Source organism: Homo sapiens, chromosome 12 (genome assembly GCF_000001405.40).
Source record: "Homo sapiens chromosome 12, GRCh38.p14 Primary Assembly".
Lineage (NCBI taxonomy): Eukaryota > Metazoa > Chordata > Mammalia > Primates > Hominidae > Homo > Homo sapiens.
Genome location: NC_000012.12, coordinates 126,898,510 through 126,917,782, shown reverse-complemented (window position 1 = coordinate 126,917,782; position 19,273 = coordinate 126,898,510). Strand labels below are relative to the sequence as shown.

General features: G+C 39.9%; 1 long non-coding RNA gene and 1 pseudogene across 1 annotated transcript in view, besides 1 other annotated feature; one reads left to right on the top strand and one right to left on the bottom strand.

The window, feature by feature from the left end:
• LINC02405 (long intergenic non-protein coding RNA 2405) overlaps positions 1 to 2,556 on the top strand; it is a 145,171-nt gene extending 142,615 nt beyond the window's left edge. The window contains exon 7 of the long non-coding RNA NR_104646.1: positions 2,334 to 2,556. This is a non-coding gene — a long non-coding RNA (long intergenic non-protein coding RNA 2405). The remainder of the gene's footprint in view (positions 1 to 2,333) is intronic.
• On the bottom strand, positions 5,338 to 5,747 carry HSPE1P20 (heat shock protein family E (Hsp10) member 1 pseudogene 20; annotated as a pseudogene).
• Positions 14,207 to 15,406: an enhancer, noted in NCBI's record as "BRD4-independent group 4 enhancer chr12:127386923-127388122 (GRCh37/hg19 assembly coordinates)". NCBI's record gives its function as "activates an origin of replication core promoter dependent on BRD2, P300/CBP, MED14 and CDK7 cofactors, and independent of BRD4, by STARR-seq in HCT116 cells {active_cell/tissue: HCT116}" and the evidence as "EXISTENCE:reporter gene assay evidence [ECO:0000049][PMID:35650434]".

The following is a 19,273-nucleotide window of genomic DNA, read 5'->3' as shown; positions in this document are numbered from 1 at the left end:
TTATTTGATTTTAAACTATGTAAACGTTACCAATTTCCCTCCCCTTTCCTGTAAGGCTGTAGCAATCACTCATGGAGCCCTTATCACATTGCCAACATCCCACGTGAGGACGCCACAGCAAAGTCCTGCAGCCTGTGCACAGGTGCCATCTGGAAGTATGGGGGAGATAATGCCTGGGAAGAGGCATTCCTAAATGAATGGGGAATGGGTGTTGGTGGATAAATGCTTCCAGCCATCCATTCCTTGGTTGAGAAATTCTGATATGTGTTCCATACAGCCACCAAAAATCCCAGTTTCCCACTGTTCATAAGCACAAAAGACAACCACATGGCCTCTTCCCCTCTGTATCCTGCTCTTTTCTCTCCTTAAACTCACTCTCAGTGACGCTTCTGGAAACACCTCCCAAATCACCAACCTCCACCAAGATTTTAACTCAGGTTTTATATCAGGGACCCAAACTATGACAAGGCACGGAAATTTTTCTCTAGCCTGGCATGCTGATTGGAGTTCTCCATCTTCTTTCTTGCATAAAATATATCTATCACTCATCTGCTGTAATAATCAGCTTTAAGTAAACTGGAGCAAAACCTAAAGACACTCGAGAAGCAACCAGGATAGAGTCCATGGACGCTTTTATCATTTGTTTCTAAAATTGAATGCTGTTTTCTTTACTCCCAATTTTACAGTCTTTCCTTTCAGCAATTTATATTTATCTAGACTTCCCAATGTATCCAAGGAAGTTTTCATAGAAATAACATCTCTCATTCTTTTCGCCATGTTAAATAATATTTAATTATACTACTCAATTATGATAACAACTAGTCAATCCAAAATGAATCTGCTAAAGGCCTACTAAAAATCTGGAGTCAAATGTAAAGTATATTGGAGTTAGTTATCTTTGTTAGAGGGGCATAAAGGAGGTCAATTTAATTTTCCAAGATCCAGGTAATGATAAATGAATTATGGGGGAAGAAATAGACTATAGATGAACATGAGATTGAAGAGCCAGATTCAATATATATACATGTAGTCAACATATATATTATATTTTAATTAATATATAATATGTTTGTGTATGTATGTATACATATGTGTTTACACAGGCATACACACACAGAAACCTAAAAGCATCTTAAATAATTTTGATGTGATCAGATTGTATATGCCATTCACATGTTAAACCTCAAAATCTCACTGTGCACATTAAAGACGTAAACTGACATGTAGAATGAGTGCAGTCCACATTCGACAAAGAGTCTGGGAAATACGAATCATGTTAAACCTGGAGCCCATTTGGTACAAACTATGCAAACAATCAGTATGGCTCTTGCACTACAGGAATATAGATGAGCCCACACTCAGTTTTACCAGAGGCTTAAGATGACTGGACAGTTTAATTAGACAGGAGGAAACCATCTATTTTTTCCAAAGTGAGAAATTAAGAATTCATTTATTGTCTGGATAGGAATGCTAATGTATAGTTAAACAATTCCTAATAATGAGAAGTACAAACAATAGGACGTTTATCAGCCTTTGTCCTTTATTATAAAATCAAACCTATTAAATGTTACACACATTTTTCTAGCTCAGACTTTCAGCTAAATGTAGAGGAGTTGGGGGAAAGAAAGGAAAAGTTTTCCTGGTTGAATGTATTGAAAATGTTTATCCCTACCATTCTTCCTCTTTATCTAGGGTAAGTTAGTCTCACAGAATATTCACATTGGAAATGAGAATACCAAGAGAATAAAACATGAAACTGAGATTTTGGGGCATTTAGTAAGTTCAAATATATCACCATTGAAAATATGAATGCAATAGAAACCTGGAGCTCCTTCTAGCAATTGACTCAATCTATTTGGCTTGAATTTAGGTCATGATGACATAACAATTGTAAGTTAATGATATCGACAACATAATTGTTTTGCCGTGCTTTGAAGTACCATTGAGATGTAGAAATACGTTTCCTAATGGTGTGCACTGCCAATAGCATCAATGAGCTGTCAGAGGGAGGCCAACATAATTTGGATTTGATATATTCATGGGCAAGAGAACTATGTGCTTAGAATTAAGGATAAGATAAGATAATGCAAGACAGAGTAGATACTTCTGTTTTTATTTCTTCTTGTCTTTTTTAGTACCTCTTTCTCTTCTTAAGAACACCCCAATTTATTTGTGTGTGAGAGAGAATTTAAGACAGCTCCGACTCTCCAGTGTTTAAAAACTGGGTAAAAATCCCCAACTAAACCAACAAGGTTCCTCTTTCTGAGCGGAAAGACAAATTGCTTGATGACGTTCCAAGTTCCGTTCTCTCAAGGTCCCTTTCATTTTTCCAGATGGCTCCTGACAAGAGGCTGCTGGGGAGGCTCCTGCTCCCTGCCTTTCGGGACTGCCGTGGATTGCCCATTGATGGGTCAAAATCCAGCTACCTGGTAATTCAATGAGTCCCTAGTGTGCATCCAATAAATTATCTTCTGTTTAAATTAGAACAAACTGTTTTTAATCTGTGTGCTAAGAATCTCATTAAATGCATCATAAATTTCAAAATCAAAAACTAAATAAAACATTTATCTATCGAGTACTAAAATTTGCCTGGGTCCTCTTAAGTGTATGTGGAATCCATGCTTTCAAAACTCGATAACTTTTCTTCTCCAATAATCCGTACAGCAATTATTCCCCCGCAAAGTTAATTAACATCCTGTGATCATATTTTTGGTGAGTGCTCCATAGGTTCACGGACTGAAGAAATAGATGTACTTGAAAAGATGTCAGTGAAGATAAAAAAGGCAGGGGAGAAATTTTGTACCAAAATACAGACATACTGGCTAATTACATTTTTTTAAACTTTACAAAAAAAAGAAGTAAGACTTTTAGCTCAACACTCCACACACAATTCCCACCATCAACTGCACAGCACATGAAACAGAGTATTTTAAACATACACCAAAATCTAGATATTTCAATTCATTTATATACTGTCTCTCTCAACTCTCTAAATTTACCTGCCCACTAAAGCTGGATTCTCATATTCCCTCATCTAGTGTTGTCCCTTAGCCGTGGTGTCCTAGGCCACTTTAGCAAAATAATATAAGCAGAAATGGCATGTATCACCTTGAAGCAGAATGCTTCAAATACAGCTTTATCTTCTCTAGTTAATCATTCTCTTTCTCCGGGCTTGACTCAGACAAACATGGTCACTGTGGAAGCCACGTGTAGAAGGTTGTGGAATCACAAAACACAAAGGGCTCAGTTTCTCATGACCACTTAGAGGAGGGCCATATGTGATCAAGAACAATTGCTTTGTTATTAGAAGTCATACACATAAAAGAAATAAACTTCTATCAAGTTTGAGCTATTCTGTATCTTTGGATTTGTTTGTTACAGCAGTCAGCATTACCTTAAGTGAGAGAGAGAGAATGCTGCACTGCAGACGTTTGCATAGTTTGTGTGACATAGGCCTGAAGATATACATTTCTTTCGTTCACTCAATAAATAGTTATAAAAATTCTACTCTATGCTAGATAGTCTGCAAAAGCTGTTGATAAAATGTAGTTTATCATTTTTGGAGCATATCATGTATTAATCTTCTTGGTTTCAGAGTCACCTTATAATCTTAAAATTTATTGATGACCCTGAAGGTCTTTTGTTTCTGTGTATTATATGTGTATTTGCATTTACTATATTAATCATTGAAACTAAACTTTTAAAAAATATTCATGCATTCATTTAAGACAATATAAATATATCGTAGGTTAACACAAATCACAAATTTTTTTTATGAAAATGACTTTACTCTGCAAACCAAAATGTATGGGGATTTTACATTTTTGCAAATATGTTCAATGTCTTAGAAAAGACAGCTGAATTCTCAGATCTGCTTCTTCATTTACTGTGTTATGACAGCTTGTTTTGATTGAAGTATATTAAAAATATAAAGCCCTCCTCAGATGGAAAAATAGAATTCAAAAAACCTATTCAGATAAATGTAGCTATTCTTCTTTGATACTATACCCAAAATCAACACGTTGCATTTAAAAATTATTAGGTGTATTATGGATTTGAAACTATATCAATATGCATTTCCTACTCTGCTATATTAAAATCCATTGGTATCTCTTGCGTATCGAATAGTTCTTTTAGCTCTGTTGGATTTTGTAACATGATGCATTAATCGTTTGAAAGAGTTTGGTTCACTGTTTCTTCAGATCTTTTCTTTTTCACAATATATTTTTTAAAATCATATTTATTCATGTCTCAGTGATCTCATTAGCAGTCTTGAGTATTGAAAACATATTAAGCTTGTGATGATAGATACAAAGTTTCAAAAATTATTATTGTTACTTGAAAGTTCAGATTTTATCTTGGGTATCAAATGTCATCAGTTTCCCCCCGCCCTTGAAGTGACAAGCAGCTCACTTGATTCATATTTGAGAAAATGTCTGCCAAATTCCAAAATCTGAATAACTCACAGTTTGTCAGTTTGTCTTTCATACAAAAAAAGGACTTCCATGAACGTTTTTTTTTTTTTAGCTAAGAACTCAAACAATAACATAATTCTTTTTTTTTTTTTTTTTTTTTTTTTTGAGACGGAGTCTTCCTCTGTCTCCAGGCTGGAGTGCAGTGGTGCGATCTCGGCTCACTGCAAGCTCCGCCTCTTGGGTTCACGCCATTCTCCTGCCTCAGCCTCCCGAGTAGCTGGGACTACAGGCGTCCGCCACCACACCCGGCTAATTTTTTTATTTTTTTTATTTTTAGTAGAGACGGGGTTTCACCCTGTTAGCCAGGATGGTCTCGATCTCCTGACCTCGTGATCTGCCCGCCTTGGCCTCCCAAAGTGCTGGGATTACAGGCATGAGCCACCGCGCCCGGCCACAGAATTATTTTTTTATGATAAACATTATACTCCAATATGCAGTAGAAGTGCTTTATGCTTTATACGATCTTCTTATGTCCTGACACGAAATACTTAGAGATGTATGCTCAAGTGCTGAGATTTAATAAAACTGATGATCTTCCCTTTATCAGAAGGTTTAGTTGTGATGTCAGGGAATCTCACAGTAACCACCAGCGCCTTTCCATCCCACTGCCTTGCTCGATGCTAAGGCACCTGCGGTATCACCCCCTGCCATTTTCCTCCTTCAGGGCAAGCATCGACACACTAGTTCCAGAATGAACCATGAGTACAACGTTTTCCAACATTTCTGTATTTGAGTACCACTGCACTTTCATCACATAAAAGACAATCTTTGATGGCTACTTAGTGCTCATGCCAGATAAAAATAGCAAGCCCCGGTGGACTTACGGACTCATCCATTTTTATCTTTTTAATTCTTTCACTTTTTATGAATTATGAGTTTATTATAAAAGAGGGAGATGGAAATTATTTAACTGATGAGAGATTTCAGAACTTCAGCGGAGTGGGCAGCTTCGTGCGGATGTCATTTCAACAGTGATTTATTTCAGTCTAAATACTTTCCAAGAATGTTATTATCTCTAAAGAAGAAAGAATCCTTGTCATCTAAACTGACTTTGATGCCTCTGTATTCTGGGAGAAGAACTTTATCTCCAACTTTTACACTAACTGGTTGAATATCTCCACCCTTTCCTTTAGAGCCCAATCCAATAGCTATGCCTGTTGCTTGCACGACAGGTTCCTTGAGATTTTTCTGGAGGCTTAACGCCTCCTTCGGTTACAGTTTTGGTGGGACTCTTTTTGGCCAATACTCATCAAAGAGTGGAAGGAACTTTCTCTTTTTTTTTGAGATGGAGTTTCTCTCTCGTTGCCCAGACTGGGCAACAATGGCGCGATCTTGGCTCACTGCAACCTCCGCCTCCTGGGTTCAAGCGATTCCCCTGCCTCAGCCTCCTGAGTAGCTGGGATTACAGGTGCCTGCCACCAAGCCCGGCTTTTTTTTTGTATTTTTAGTAGAGGTGGCCAGTATGTATTTCACCATATTGGCCAGGCTGGTCTTGAACTCCTGACTTCAGATGATCTGCCTGCCTCGGCCTCCCAAAGTGCTGAGATTACAGGCGTGAGCCACCGCGCCCGGCCGAGTGGAAGGAACTTTCTAAAGGCTGGTCCTGCCATCACTCCTGGTTCCGCAGCTCATCCTCATCCATTTTCAAGGCAAACATATGATGCCGCCTATGAGATATTAACCCAGTCTTCATGTTGACAGCTAAGTCTTTCTGTTAGTGGGATACTGTATCATGGGAAAGTGGAGGTTCTGTCATTTGTTTTCTAGAGTTTCACCTGGGAGGAACCCAGCCACGCCAACCCTGCAGAGCTCTGACCTTCCCTTGCCCACTGTGTACACCTCTTTAGTCGATACCACATCATAATTTACCCTTCAAAGCATCATGTTTGTTTTTCCCTTCTATTATGAAAAACAGCAACAAAGAAGTCGTGACTTTAATGAGCATATATTAGTGTGCATATTGGTGCAAAAGTTATTGCAGTAATAACTTCACCAAAAATAATCAATGCCTTCTTTCAACTTGAAAAGATTAATCACAAAACAATACTGAAGTCTATCTTACACCATATTATTATTTGAGATGTTCCTTAAATACGATACAAGAAATTAACACATTAAGTTAAGGGGAATATATATTTTTTCCTATTTTATTTACCATTTAAATTCCACCTAGATTGAAAATTTTATTTTTTTAATTGACAAATAATAATTATACATTTTAATGGGGTATCTAAGAATGTTTCTATATATACACAACACAGAGTGATCAGATCACAATGACCAGCATGTCCATTTTCTCAAACACTTACTCATTTTGTTGGGAATGTTTAATATCCTCCTTCTAGCTATTTGAAACTACATAATATTTTTTTAAGGTAAAGCTGTTGTATTAAATGTCTATTCTTTAAGGACTGGGAGAATGACATAACAAGCTTGAGCAACATGTGTAAACACATGTGAAATGCGGTTTGATTTCAGTAGTTTACTAGGAGAAAAAGCTGTGCAAGAGGCCGGCCACACTTTCCTGCTTCCCCGGGGCTCAGGGTTAGAACTAGGAAAGGCGTACAGATGTTAATCAAGGTTCAACACTCAAGTCATGTAAACGTAGTTAGTCATTGGGCCCTCAGTTTCCAAAAGAGCTAGGCACTTCTAATGGCTTCCGCCCCTCACCCAAGCCCTGTGCCTCCCTTCTCAAAGGGGGCAACCCCCGCCAAGCCCAGCTGATCCAGGGAAACTGTATAATACCTTATTGTTAACTATATTCATGCTGCAGTGATACAGAACAGTAGAACTTATTTCTCCAAGCTAGCTATAATTTTGTATCCCTTTTTTTTTTTGAGATGGAGTCTCAATCTGTCACCCAAGTGAGAATGCAGTGGCGTGATCTCAGCTCACTAGAGCCTCCGCCTCCTGGGTTCAAGCAATTCTCCTGCCTCAGCTTCCTGAGTAGCTGGGATTATAGGTGCTCACCACCATACCTGGCTAATTTTTGTATTTTTAGCAAAGACGGGGCTTCACTATGTTGGCCAGGCTGGTCTCGAAGTCCTTTAACAAATGTCACCTTCTCCCTCCCTTTCTCCTCTATTTTCTAGCCTCTAGATTTTTTTGAGCAGATTTCTCCCTTTCATGAGATAGAGAACTATTTCAGCAGTCATTTTTAATTTTTCAGCATTTTTATGTAGATAGTGCTGTTTTAGCTTGAGAAAGCCAGTCTTCAGGTCTCACTTTTGAAGTTCTATCCATCTTTAAACAAAGAAAACCATATTTTAAATAATATTCTGATATTTTAGGATAAAATCCCATTGAATGGTAAAATTGCAGATTTGGAAAAAATAAAACTGTGTCAGTTTTTGAAAAGCAAGTTATCATTTCAAAGCTAGATAATAGGGTATCTCTTGTGTTTTTTCACAGGCTCAAGGAAAACTCTGTGTCTTCAAAATAATGTCTTATTGAATGATAATGAGGTTCCAACATTCCGCAAATAAAGCTGAAGATAAATAGTAGAGAGTCAGGAGAAGCACTAAAAAGAAACAATTATTTTCTGAAAATGTACACATTTTTTTTCTAATTTTTCAGTCTTGGAACATTTTAAGAAACACAAGAACACACAGGCACACACCCCATGAGTCTTCACAGCAGTGACATCGCCACACATCAGTAGAAAACTGCCCTGTACACATCTAAGAGATTTTTGAGTGAAAAAGGCACCAGCATCTTAGTATTATTATATAAAATGTTGTGATATTCTAGACCCCTTGAATGATTGCCTGAGACCCCCCAGTGATTTTCTGAGCACATTCGTAAGAGCATTCTCCCAGAATTTACAGTTTAGAGGATAAAGCTATGTAACAATCCTCCCTCCCATTTATATGATATTCATCTCCTATTTATATGGTATCCAGATATATTTTCTCACATTCAATAACTCATTTGACTCTCCCAATATCCCTGCAATGTTGTAAGTACACCACGGAGGGATCATGGTCACTTTCCAGGCATGAAAACTGAGGCCCTATAGCTTGCCCACATTTACAAATTTCCTAAGTATCTGAGTCAGGACAAATTTTATGACCTTTGCACATATATTTTTCTTCAGAACATTTATCACATCCAGGATAGATACTGCATGTGTGCACATGATGTCAGAAGCTCAAAATCAGAAAAGAAATGTAACGGGGGGGAGCCAATTAAAAAGAGAAGAAAGTGCAAATAAAAACTCAAGCAGTGAAGTCTGACATAAAATATCTTCTCTCTTAACATGAATAAGCCCATTATTCCCTTTTCTAACCTCACTCAGAGCTAAGTGATCCTCTCTGGAGGTAAAGAGCATTTTAAGCTTGTCTTTCCTTGCCTTCAGTGCCCCCAATCACCCACTCCTGACATGCATGTCTCTTTCTGCCACTTTTCCTGTCAAATACGTGAAAAAATCCTGCTTAATTATTTCCATCTTAGGGTAAGTCTTTCTTCGCTAAGACTGACATTAAAAATGTCAGTTTACAAAGAATGAGATGCAGAAGAAAGATATTTTTAAGAACCTCCTTCCTTATCTGTCATCTGTCACCTTTATTCTCAAAAATTAAGACAATAAAGCAAACGGAAGCAAACATATAATTCACAACCCAATGCAAATTTATTTCCTTTAACAAGAGTTTAGAAAACTGTAATTGATGGAAGAAATAATATTTTAAAATAATAACTCTGTGGATGATTTGACATTCCCTATTTTTTGAAGTGAGCTTCTCACAAGATGAATGGTGAGTGCTTTTGAGGAACTGTCAGAGGTGTTTGAACCAGTGCCACTCCATCTTGAATAGGTCCTGGGTAAAAAAAGACTGAGGCTTTCTCGGGTGCATTCCCAGGCAGTTAGGCATTCTAAGTCACAGGATGAGATAGGAGGACAGCACAAGATACAGGTCATAAAGACCTTGCTGATAAAACAGTCTGCAGTGAAGAAGCTGGCCAAGTCCCACCAAAATCAAGATGGCGACAAAACAGACCTCTGGCTGTTCTCACTGCTCATTATACACTAATTATATTACATTAGCACGCTAAGAAACACTTCCACCAGCACCATGACAGTTTACAGATGCCATGGCAACCTCAGGAAGTTGCCCTATATAGTCTAAAAGGGGGAGGAACCTTCAGTTCCAGGAACTGCCCACACCTTTCCTGGAAAACTCATGAATGATCCACACCGTGCTTAGCATGTAATCAACAGATAAGTATGCTCAGTGGAACAGCCCATGCTGCTGCTCTGCCTATGGAGCACCCATTCTTTATTTCTTTGCTTTCCTAATAAACTTGCTTTGACTTTATGGACTCCTCTCAATTCTTTCTGGCATGAGATCCAAGAACCCTCTCTTGGGGTCCAGATCGTGACCCCATTCCAGTAACAGGACTGTATCATCAATAGCAATTGCTAGTAAAGCAAATTGTCAAATAAAATATATTGAGATGTTTACTAAATATTTTTAAAGGGACAAATAACAGAGGGCATGCAACTGTGATCATCTTTGATCTAACAATGCTTTAAGGAGATTATTTTCTGAAATTGAGAAATTAAACTGAGCAAAATAAATCATCATATTGAATTAAAGAAAACACTTAAAAGACAATTTTCCTTTTTTTTTTTTTTTAACAGACTCTCACTCTGTAGCCCAGGCTGGAGTGCAGTGGTGTGATCTCAGCTCACTGCAACCTCCACCCACTGGTTCAAGTGGTGCCTCAGCCTCCCGAGTAGCTGGGACTACAGGCGCATGCCACCACGCCCGGCTAATTCTTTTGTATTTTTAGTAGTCACCGTGTTACCCAGGATGGTCTCAATCTCCTGACCTCGTGATCCGCCTGCCTCGGCCTCCCAAAGTGCTGGGATTACAGGCGTGAGCCACCGCGCCCGACCACAGTTTTCCTTTTAAGAGTAGGAATTACCATTCATGTTCCATTACCAAATTCAGGATGTAAATTCCCTCAGTCTGTTCTCTACAATGGCCTGAGTAGCAGGAAAGGAAAATTCCCCAATAAAATGAAAGGGGTTTGAAAAAATTACCTTATTAATTGTGCCCTAATAATGTGGGCTCATTACTTTTTTTTATAGAAGAAATGATGCACAGGGTAGACAGAGAAAAATGGTAGATCTTGAATTAACTGGCAAAAAAATCCTACAGGCAGTAACTAACATCTGGACCAGTAAATTACCGGGATAAAATAAGTGGCTTTGTTGATGTGAAGAGATTTAAATGGGTGTAAACAGCTGCAAATGAGACAGGAGAGCACTCAAAGAATTTAAATAAGAGTAAGGTAATTAAAGTCAAGTGTAGTAGAAAAAAACATGCAAAAGGCAATGAGTGGTCATATTTCTTGAAGGGTCTCTCCCCCAAACTGAGTACACAGCAAAATTCAGATGAAATCCCTGCATGAAGATATCTCAAAGGGTAATCACAAAAGAGCTCTCTAGAACCACATGGAGAGGGAAAAGGAGGATTTCCAACAAGACGTGGCCAAGGAGGTCTTGGGGAAAAAATAAGAGAATTTCTGCCAAGAAAGTACATCTTCCAATGACATAACCAAGAACCAAGAGATTTTTAAGCCTGTTAGAAGCCAATGTAGACCCACCAAGTTTCTGTATTAGGCAATGTTAAGCCATTTGGATTCTGAGACACTTATTCTTCCTTTATGTTCAATTGAAATAGAATTGATTATTCCCTTGGTGAATATTTAATGAGCTCTCCTTTCAGCCTCCCTGTGTGCCAGGTGCAAGGAGACCAAGAGAAATGAGGTCCTTCCCTCATGGAACTTAACAGCATAGAAAACAAAGATTTCTTCCTCAAAGGTTGTTTACAAAAAGCAAATTTGCACATGTGAAACCTGTTAGGAAAAAGCACACTGAGAGCAATAAAAAGTGACAGCATGCAGCAATAAGATTAGACATTAAAAAACTAAGAGAAAAACCCCAGAAACATGCTTGTCTGAGAGCGGTATATAAAGCAACAAATGGGATTAGTTAGGCAGCTTCAGAGGCCTCACTGCATCCAATGCTGGTACCCGACCAACAGCCAATGCTCATAGTGATGATTTTCAGTCAGATGCACACACACACACACACACACACACACACACAGTGAAACACACAGACACACACAGACACACAGCCTCACACACATGCACACACAGTCACACACAGTCACACATACAGACACAGAGTCCCACATACCAACACACACAGGTACATGCACACAGACTCAGATGCACACACATACACACAGACACAGTCACACAGAGACACACACATGGACACACATGGATACACACAGTCACATACACACATGCGCATACACAATCACACACACGGACACACACACACAGTCTCACACACACACAGTCACATACCCACAGACATACACACAGACACACAGACACACATAGACAGACACAAGACACACACAGTCACACACACAGACACATACACACAGACACAGACACACACAGTCACTCACACACAGACACCCACACAGTCACACAAGCACTCAGACACATTATCATATATTCCTCATATTCTGCTTAAAGGACAAGAAAGCACAACACATTTTGGAAGGATACTGCAAAATATGGTTGTACTAAAGTTTTGTTGCTTAAAGAATATATGTGTCAGAGGCGTTTGAAGCAGTGCAACTCCCATGTTGAATAGGGGCTGGGTAAAATAAGGCTGAGACCTACTGGGCTGCATTCCCAGGAGGTTAAGGCATTCTAAGTCACAGGATGAGATCACAGGTCGGCACAAGATACAGGTCACAAAGACTTTGCTGATAAAAGGATGCTGTAAAGAAGCCAGTCAAATCCCACCAAAACCAAGATAGCAACAAGGGTGAGCTCTGGTGGTCCTCACTACTCATTATATGCTAATTAGAATGCATTAGCATGCTAAAAGACACTCCCACCTGAGCTATGACAGTTTACAAATGCAATGGCAACATCAGGAAGTGACCCTATATGGAATAAAAAGGTGAGGAACTCTCAGTTCCAGGAATTGCCTACCCCTTTCTCGGGAAAATTCATGAATAATCCACTCCTTGTTTAGCATGTAATCAAGAAATAACCATTAAAAAGAGGCAACCAGCAGCCCCTGGGGCTGCTCTGTCTCTGAAATAGCCATTTTTCATTTATTTACTTTCCTAGGAAACTTGCTTTCGCTTTACTCTATGGACTCACCCCGAATTCTTTCTTGCGTGAGATCCAAGAACCTTCTCTTGGGTACTGGATCAGGACCTTTCCAGTAACATCCATTTTTGGTGTATATTAGAATCACATGTTGTTAGCAACGTCAGATGCATGAGTTTTCTGAGCTGTGATCTGATATCTGTTTTGCTTAATTTGTTGCCAAGCATTACACATAGAAGTTATTCAGGCCAAGATGGTGAAACCCTATATCTACTAAAATACAAAAATTAGCCAGGTGTGGTGGTGGGTACCTGTAATCCCAGCTATTCAGGAGGCTGAGGCAGGGAATTGCTTGAATCCAGGAGGCGGAGGTTGCAGTGAGCTAAGATCGTGCCATTGCACTCCAGCATGGGCAACAGAGTGAGACTCAGTCTCAAAAAAAAAAAAAAAAAGTTATTCAGGGCCAGTCTCAGTGTCTCACACCTGTATTCTCAGCACTTTGGAAGGCTGAGGTAGGAAGATCCCTTGAGCCCAGGAGTTCAAGACCAGCCTAGGTAACATAGGAAGACCCCATCTCTACCAAAAAATAAAAGAAAAAATATAGCCAGGCATGGTGGTGTGTGCCTTCAGTCCCAGCTATTCAGGAGGCTGAGGCAGGAGGATTCCTTAAGCCAGGGAGGTAGAGGCTGAAGTGAATCATGATTGCACCACTGCACTCCAGCCTGGGCAACAGAGCAAGACCCTGTCTCAACAACAACAACGAGTTGTTTGTTGTTTAGCCCAGGATTTCTATCTCCTCCATCTGATGTGGTCAGTGACTCAGATGTATGAAGATATTGAGCAGGAGTCACCAGTTCAGTAGGGGATACTCAGTAAATCAGAAATAAGATCCAGAGAAGGGGTGAGCAGAACTAACCCATGACCTCAAGTTCATTTGTAGGATAGATTTTAGGAGACATAACTGCAAGGATAAAAAGCACCACACCAAGAAGGGTTAATCCAGTCATCAGTTCTTGACACCAAAGGTCATTCCTGATGTTTCTGAAGCTCACCAGGGCCCAGAGGGCATGCATTTGGAAGGGTGGCACAACAGGTCTAATGTCTTCTCAGAGCATACCTCAAAATGAAAAGATTGATTTTGGTCACTGAAGGTCTCATTTACAGAAATAGATTTCCAATAAGGAGGTATTGGTAACTTTATTCAGAGCTGTGCGGAGAGATGCTATCCAGAATTTGAAGTCGCTAAACAGCTTTCTAAAACCAGGACTATTAATGTACTATTTGGAAGCTTTGGAAGAAACTTTTCAGCCTGGTTGAGTTAAATACCAAAGTTGAAATTCAGAAAGGTGCTATTAAATTATAAACTTAATGCAGGTAAAGAGTAGAACAGTTTCCCCTTCACTGTACTGCAGATTGTAAAATACCACCTAATTTTCTATATCATTTTGTACCACTCCAAAAACCTAGAAGAGTGAACAGGGCTGCGAACTCTCTCCATGAGACTCTGAGCATCCACGTGGGGAGTGCATTTGTCAAAGACATTTGAACCTGAGCAACTCCATCTTAAACAGGAACTGGGTAAAATGAGGCTGAGACCTACTAGGCTGCATTCCCAGGAGGCTAAGCCATTCTAAGTCACAGGATGAGATAGGAGGTCGTCACAAGATACAGGTCACAAACTTTGCTGATGAAACAGGTTGCAGTAAAGAGGCCAGCGGAAACCCACCAAAACCAAGATGGCGATGAGCATGACCTCCGGTTGTCCTCACTGCTACACTCCCACCAGCGCCATGATAGTTTACAAATGCCATGGCAACGTCAGGATGTTACCCTATATGGTCTAAAAAGGGGAGGCATGAATAATCCAACTCTTGTTTAACATATCATCAAGAAATACCATAAAAATGGGCATTTAGCAGCCCTCAGGGCTCCTCTGTCTGCAGAGTGGCCATTCTTTTTTTCCTTTTCTTTCCTGATAAAATTGCTTTCACTTTTCTCTATGGACTCTCCCTGAATTCTTTCCTGTGCGAGATCCAGGAACCCTCTCTGGGGGTCTGGATCAGGACCCCTTTCCTGTAACACACTGACCCTCCCCAGTGTCAGGATCTGTGCCAGTGCCCTGAAGGTGGAGTTCTCAGAGGCTGCCCCTTCTGGTTCCTACCTTCTGAGAATTGCTAGGCCAACTCCTGCAGGTAGGTGGAATTCCTCTCCTTTGCGATTACATCAGCGTCTCTTAACTCTTGTCATCAGAGAAGTAGAGAGTAATCATCTTGAAATTAAAGCTGTGAGTTCTCAGTAAATTATAAAAGGTGACTCAGTAAAGGAAAATAAAGCTTTAGGGGAAGGGCAAAGCAGATGGAGTGAAACAAAGTGTGATTAGGAATTTCAAATACAGAATATGAAATTAAAATAGTAGCTGGTTCATAATATACACGAGTGAATTAAATACAGATCACTGAACATATTTCCCCTCTGAGGACATTTCTCTCTTCTTCCTCTTTGTTCATAAAGGAAATGCTAACATGTATATGAAGGAAGGAAAAAAGAAAGGGAAAGAGAAAGAGGGAGGAAGGGAGGAAAGGAGGGAGGGAGAAAGAAAGAAAGATTTTCCCTATATAATTTTCAATTTTGTCAATAAAAAGCATATACTTCTTTAACCGTTTAATATGAATCTTGCTAATTGTAGCAAATTGTTATTTCTTATAAAGGATGCATCATGCAAAACATTGTCTCACCCAAGCTTGTCAGCTTCTTCACAAGATTACAAAGTTGAGAGCAGCTGAGGCAAAACCGCTCTGGTATGTGATCTGTGGAATCCTTCTCATTCACAACAGGATTTTCCTATGAGGGGTCAAACACTTTCAGTTGGCTTTCAAGAAACCACAAATCTAAATTAAACAAGTAGGCAACACATGACAGAGGGCCATCATTTTATGGCAGGATCCTCCAATTAGCTGTAATGGCTACAAATCAAGAAAAGGTTAAATATTTCTGAATAATTTTAGATTTTGGGAAAAGGGAAGCAAAGAACATAAAGATTGTGTTTTATGATCTCATAAATCTCTCTTGGATTAAAAAACAAAAAATCCCTGATACTTTGGGAGGTAGGGTATACTGGAAAGTATTTCTTAGCTTTAACAGGGAATAAGCTATTAAAATTTTTGAAAAGCCAAAAAAAAAAAAAAAAAAAAAAGGATGCATCATTTCCTGTGATACGAGTGACAGGTAACAGGATAAAAACAGTAATAAAGAGAAAAATGTGATGAGAATCAAGATGTGCAGTAGTTATTTTAATTTTAAAAGTCAAATAATTCTCTCACTCGTAGGGTTAACTAAATGTTGAAAGCATTCTCTTATTCCTCTGCTGGGTTGATGGTGTATAGAAAATGCAAACATTACTTATTTTTTACAGAATCATTAATCATGGTGCAGGGTTAACATATGAAGACCTAGGGATTAGGTCTAATTATTACTTGGCATAAAATCCATTCAAGAAATATGTTTTCGTAAGAAAAAATGTACATTATGAAAATATGTTGACCTTTTGCCTCTGCTCCATAGGACTTCAGGGAGCAAAGTTATGTAGATGTCCTGGTTAAAATGGATTTTTTTTTGAGGGTCAAAACATTGAGGGTACAAGGAATCATTCATCCTAGGAGGTTAAGGCAGAAAAAAGAATGTTAGCAGGTTTTTCCCCTTCATTTCCATAAAAGCTTGATTTACAAACAAACTATACCTACTAGGGAAAAAACAAAGAAAGAAAAGGAGTTGATTTTGTCTTCTTGAACCCTTGGCGCTGAATTTTTGTCTGTTTTACTGGCAGTTAGACGACACTAATAGCTGAGAAAGCATCATAATGGAAGAATCAAGAAATTGATAGTAATCATATGGGATGAAATAAATTAAAAGCTTACATTTTGTAGCCCATTACACTGTGGTCTACATAACATTAAATTATTCAAATGAAATTGTAAAAAAGATCGGTTAATCAGCATTTAGTAAAGATGTCAAATTGTACCCCCCCACTCCTTCCCAAACACCACTAAAATGCAAATATTGATTCTGTTTGTAAGTCATAAACCCAAGAGACAAAGGGAAAAGGAGAGGATGTAATAAAAAAAAACAAACAAGAAACGGAAGTTGGCAAACAGTGGGGGGTCCCAGCAAGTTAAATCCTATACCAGTGGGGAGGGAAGGGGAGTCAAACAGCAATCACATTTATTCCACAGAGTTTGCCCCCCTCCCCAGTTCCAGGCACCTGGATACTGTGGAGGAAAAGGTAAATATTAAATTTGAACTCAATTGAAAGTGGACACAAACAATGGTCACCAAGTCCCGGAACAGGTTGTGTGAGCACCTTGAGGCGTTCATCTAGCGCTGTTTCAGAGAAATCTCTATTTTGATGTATTCCTATACGTCAGTTATTGAAAAACGATAGACAATTGCAAAAACGAGTTGACCTTTTTGTGTTCCTTGAGCCAAGTCGCAAGGGGCCCTCGTGACTGGGCCTCATGCCAAACAACTCGTTACAAAAAGAGCTCGGGTCCCAGACTGTGCCGAAGCTTCCTGAGACCTCTCCTCGGCCGTGCACGGACGAGTGGCCGACTCTGGAACCCAGGCTGCTCCTTCCCGGTCTGGGGGTGAATCCTCCATAGGCTGGTGAGTGTAAATACATGCATCTTTTCCCTTCTCCCCTTCCCATTGTAATTTGCGTATTGTATCATTTGCTTATTATATGATTTGCTTACTGTATCTGTATTGCCATATACTTGGGATAAAGGCTGTTTACCCTTAAAGGTATTGTGTGTGTGTGTCTTTTCTTCTCCCCTGCGCGTTTCCCGCACAGAACAGATACCCGCCCTCACTGATGTTGGATTCTTCTCCGCAGACAGCAAAGAGAAAGTCTCCGGCCTGGCTGGAAATGAGCGTCCATACTGAGCACATGCAAGGGTGCACTGAACACTGGGATGCACAGTCTCTTCCTCAGCCGTGCTCCAGGGTGATGACGGCAGATCAAGACCCTCCTCACAGGAGACCGGATGCTCCTTCTCTGAAGAATTTGACCAAGGCAAGAAGAAATGCCTAAAGCAGCCGGCATGAAGGCTTCAGGAATGAAACAACCCAGCAGATCACCCTACAGGGATCAGCCCCGGCAACCAGCCGCAGGCTCCACTGCTTAGTTCCCACTTTCTGACATGGACAAGCAAAAAAGACCACCACACACGAGGACACCCTTCAACGTAAATGACACCAAACAAAAAATAAAACAAGCAAACACACGTTGGCAGTCCAAGGCAGGAGGACAGCTTTGAGCTCAGTAGTGTGAGATCAACCTGGGCAACATAGCAAGACCTCATTGCTACTAAAAATAATAACAATAGAATAATCAGCTGGGCATAGTGGCATGCACCTGTAGTCCCAGCTACTTGGGAGGCTGAGGAGGGAGGATCGCTTGAGCTCAGGAGGTCAAGATGGCAGTGAGCTATGATCCTGCCACGGCACTCCAGCCTGGGCAACAGAGTGAGACCCTGTCTCCAAAACAAAACAAAACAAAACAAAACAAAACAAAACAAACAAAAAACCAAGAAATCAAAAAGAGTAAAGCAACCCTGAAGAAAAAGGAACTCTGAAAGGAGAAGGAAAACTGTTCTTTGCTATTTTAGCAAAGAATCAAGACAGAAAAAGAAGCATGGTATTTTGAGCTCTGGAGATTAATATTTAAAGTACAAAAGTAGTAAAGAATGATTGCCTGTGGTCTAGGGGAAATATGGAAGGGATGAAAAACTGTTTCATACTTCTTGTTTTTTGTTTCCTTTCTCTTTAAACAACGCTTTCCGATTATTTGAATTTTCTAGATAAGTACAGGCATCGTTCTGATTTTCAAAAAAATTGGCTACTAATCATGCCTGTTTTTCTTTTCTGTATTTTTTTTTCTTGGCAATGCAGATTCTTCAACTCAAAGACTTCTATAGCACACTCTTCACATACATATACTTACACACACACACACACAGATGCAGATTCACACATATGACATACAAGGGCATGGAGTCCTACACATGCAACAGTACAGATGTTATTTCTAGGCAATAGCTACAAACAATTTGAACACACCAGTTATGTGGGAATGTGTCTAGATGTCTGTATGGTCATATCCATATTACCTATTCCCTTGGAAGTGCTGCACACGTTCTGCAGCCTGGCACCCAAGTACCGTAATGCTGTGGCCACAACATGCATTTTCATTTCCAGCTTGATCTCTCTCCCCTTCTCGCTCTCTCCCTTCTTCCATTTCCCTTCTCTCCTCTTGCTCGCTTCTTCTCTTCCTCTCTCTTTTCCTTCCCCATTCTTTCTCCTCCTTCTTCTGTCTCCCTCCTTCTCTCTCTCCCTCTCTTGTGCTCCTCTCCTTTCTAGCCCTCTCTCCCTCTCTCTCCCCTTCCTCTCTTTCTCTCCTATCTCTTCCCCCCGTCTCTCTCCCTCTCTTCCCCCAACTACCTCCCTTTTTCTCCTCTTTCTTCCCCACTTCCTCTCCCTTTCTGCCTTCTCTTCCTCCCTCTTCTCTCCCTCTCTCTTCTCCTTCTCTACCTCTTTCTCCCCCTCTCTCTTTTTCCCCCTTGCCCTCTCTCTCCCTCCCTATAGCTCTC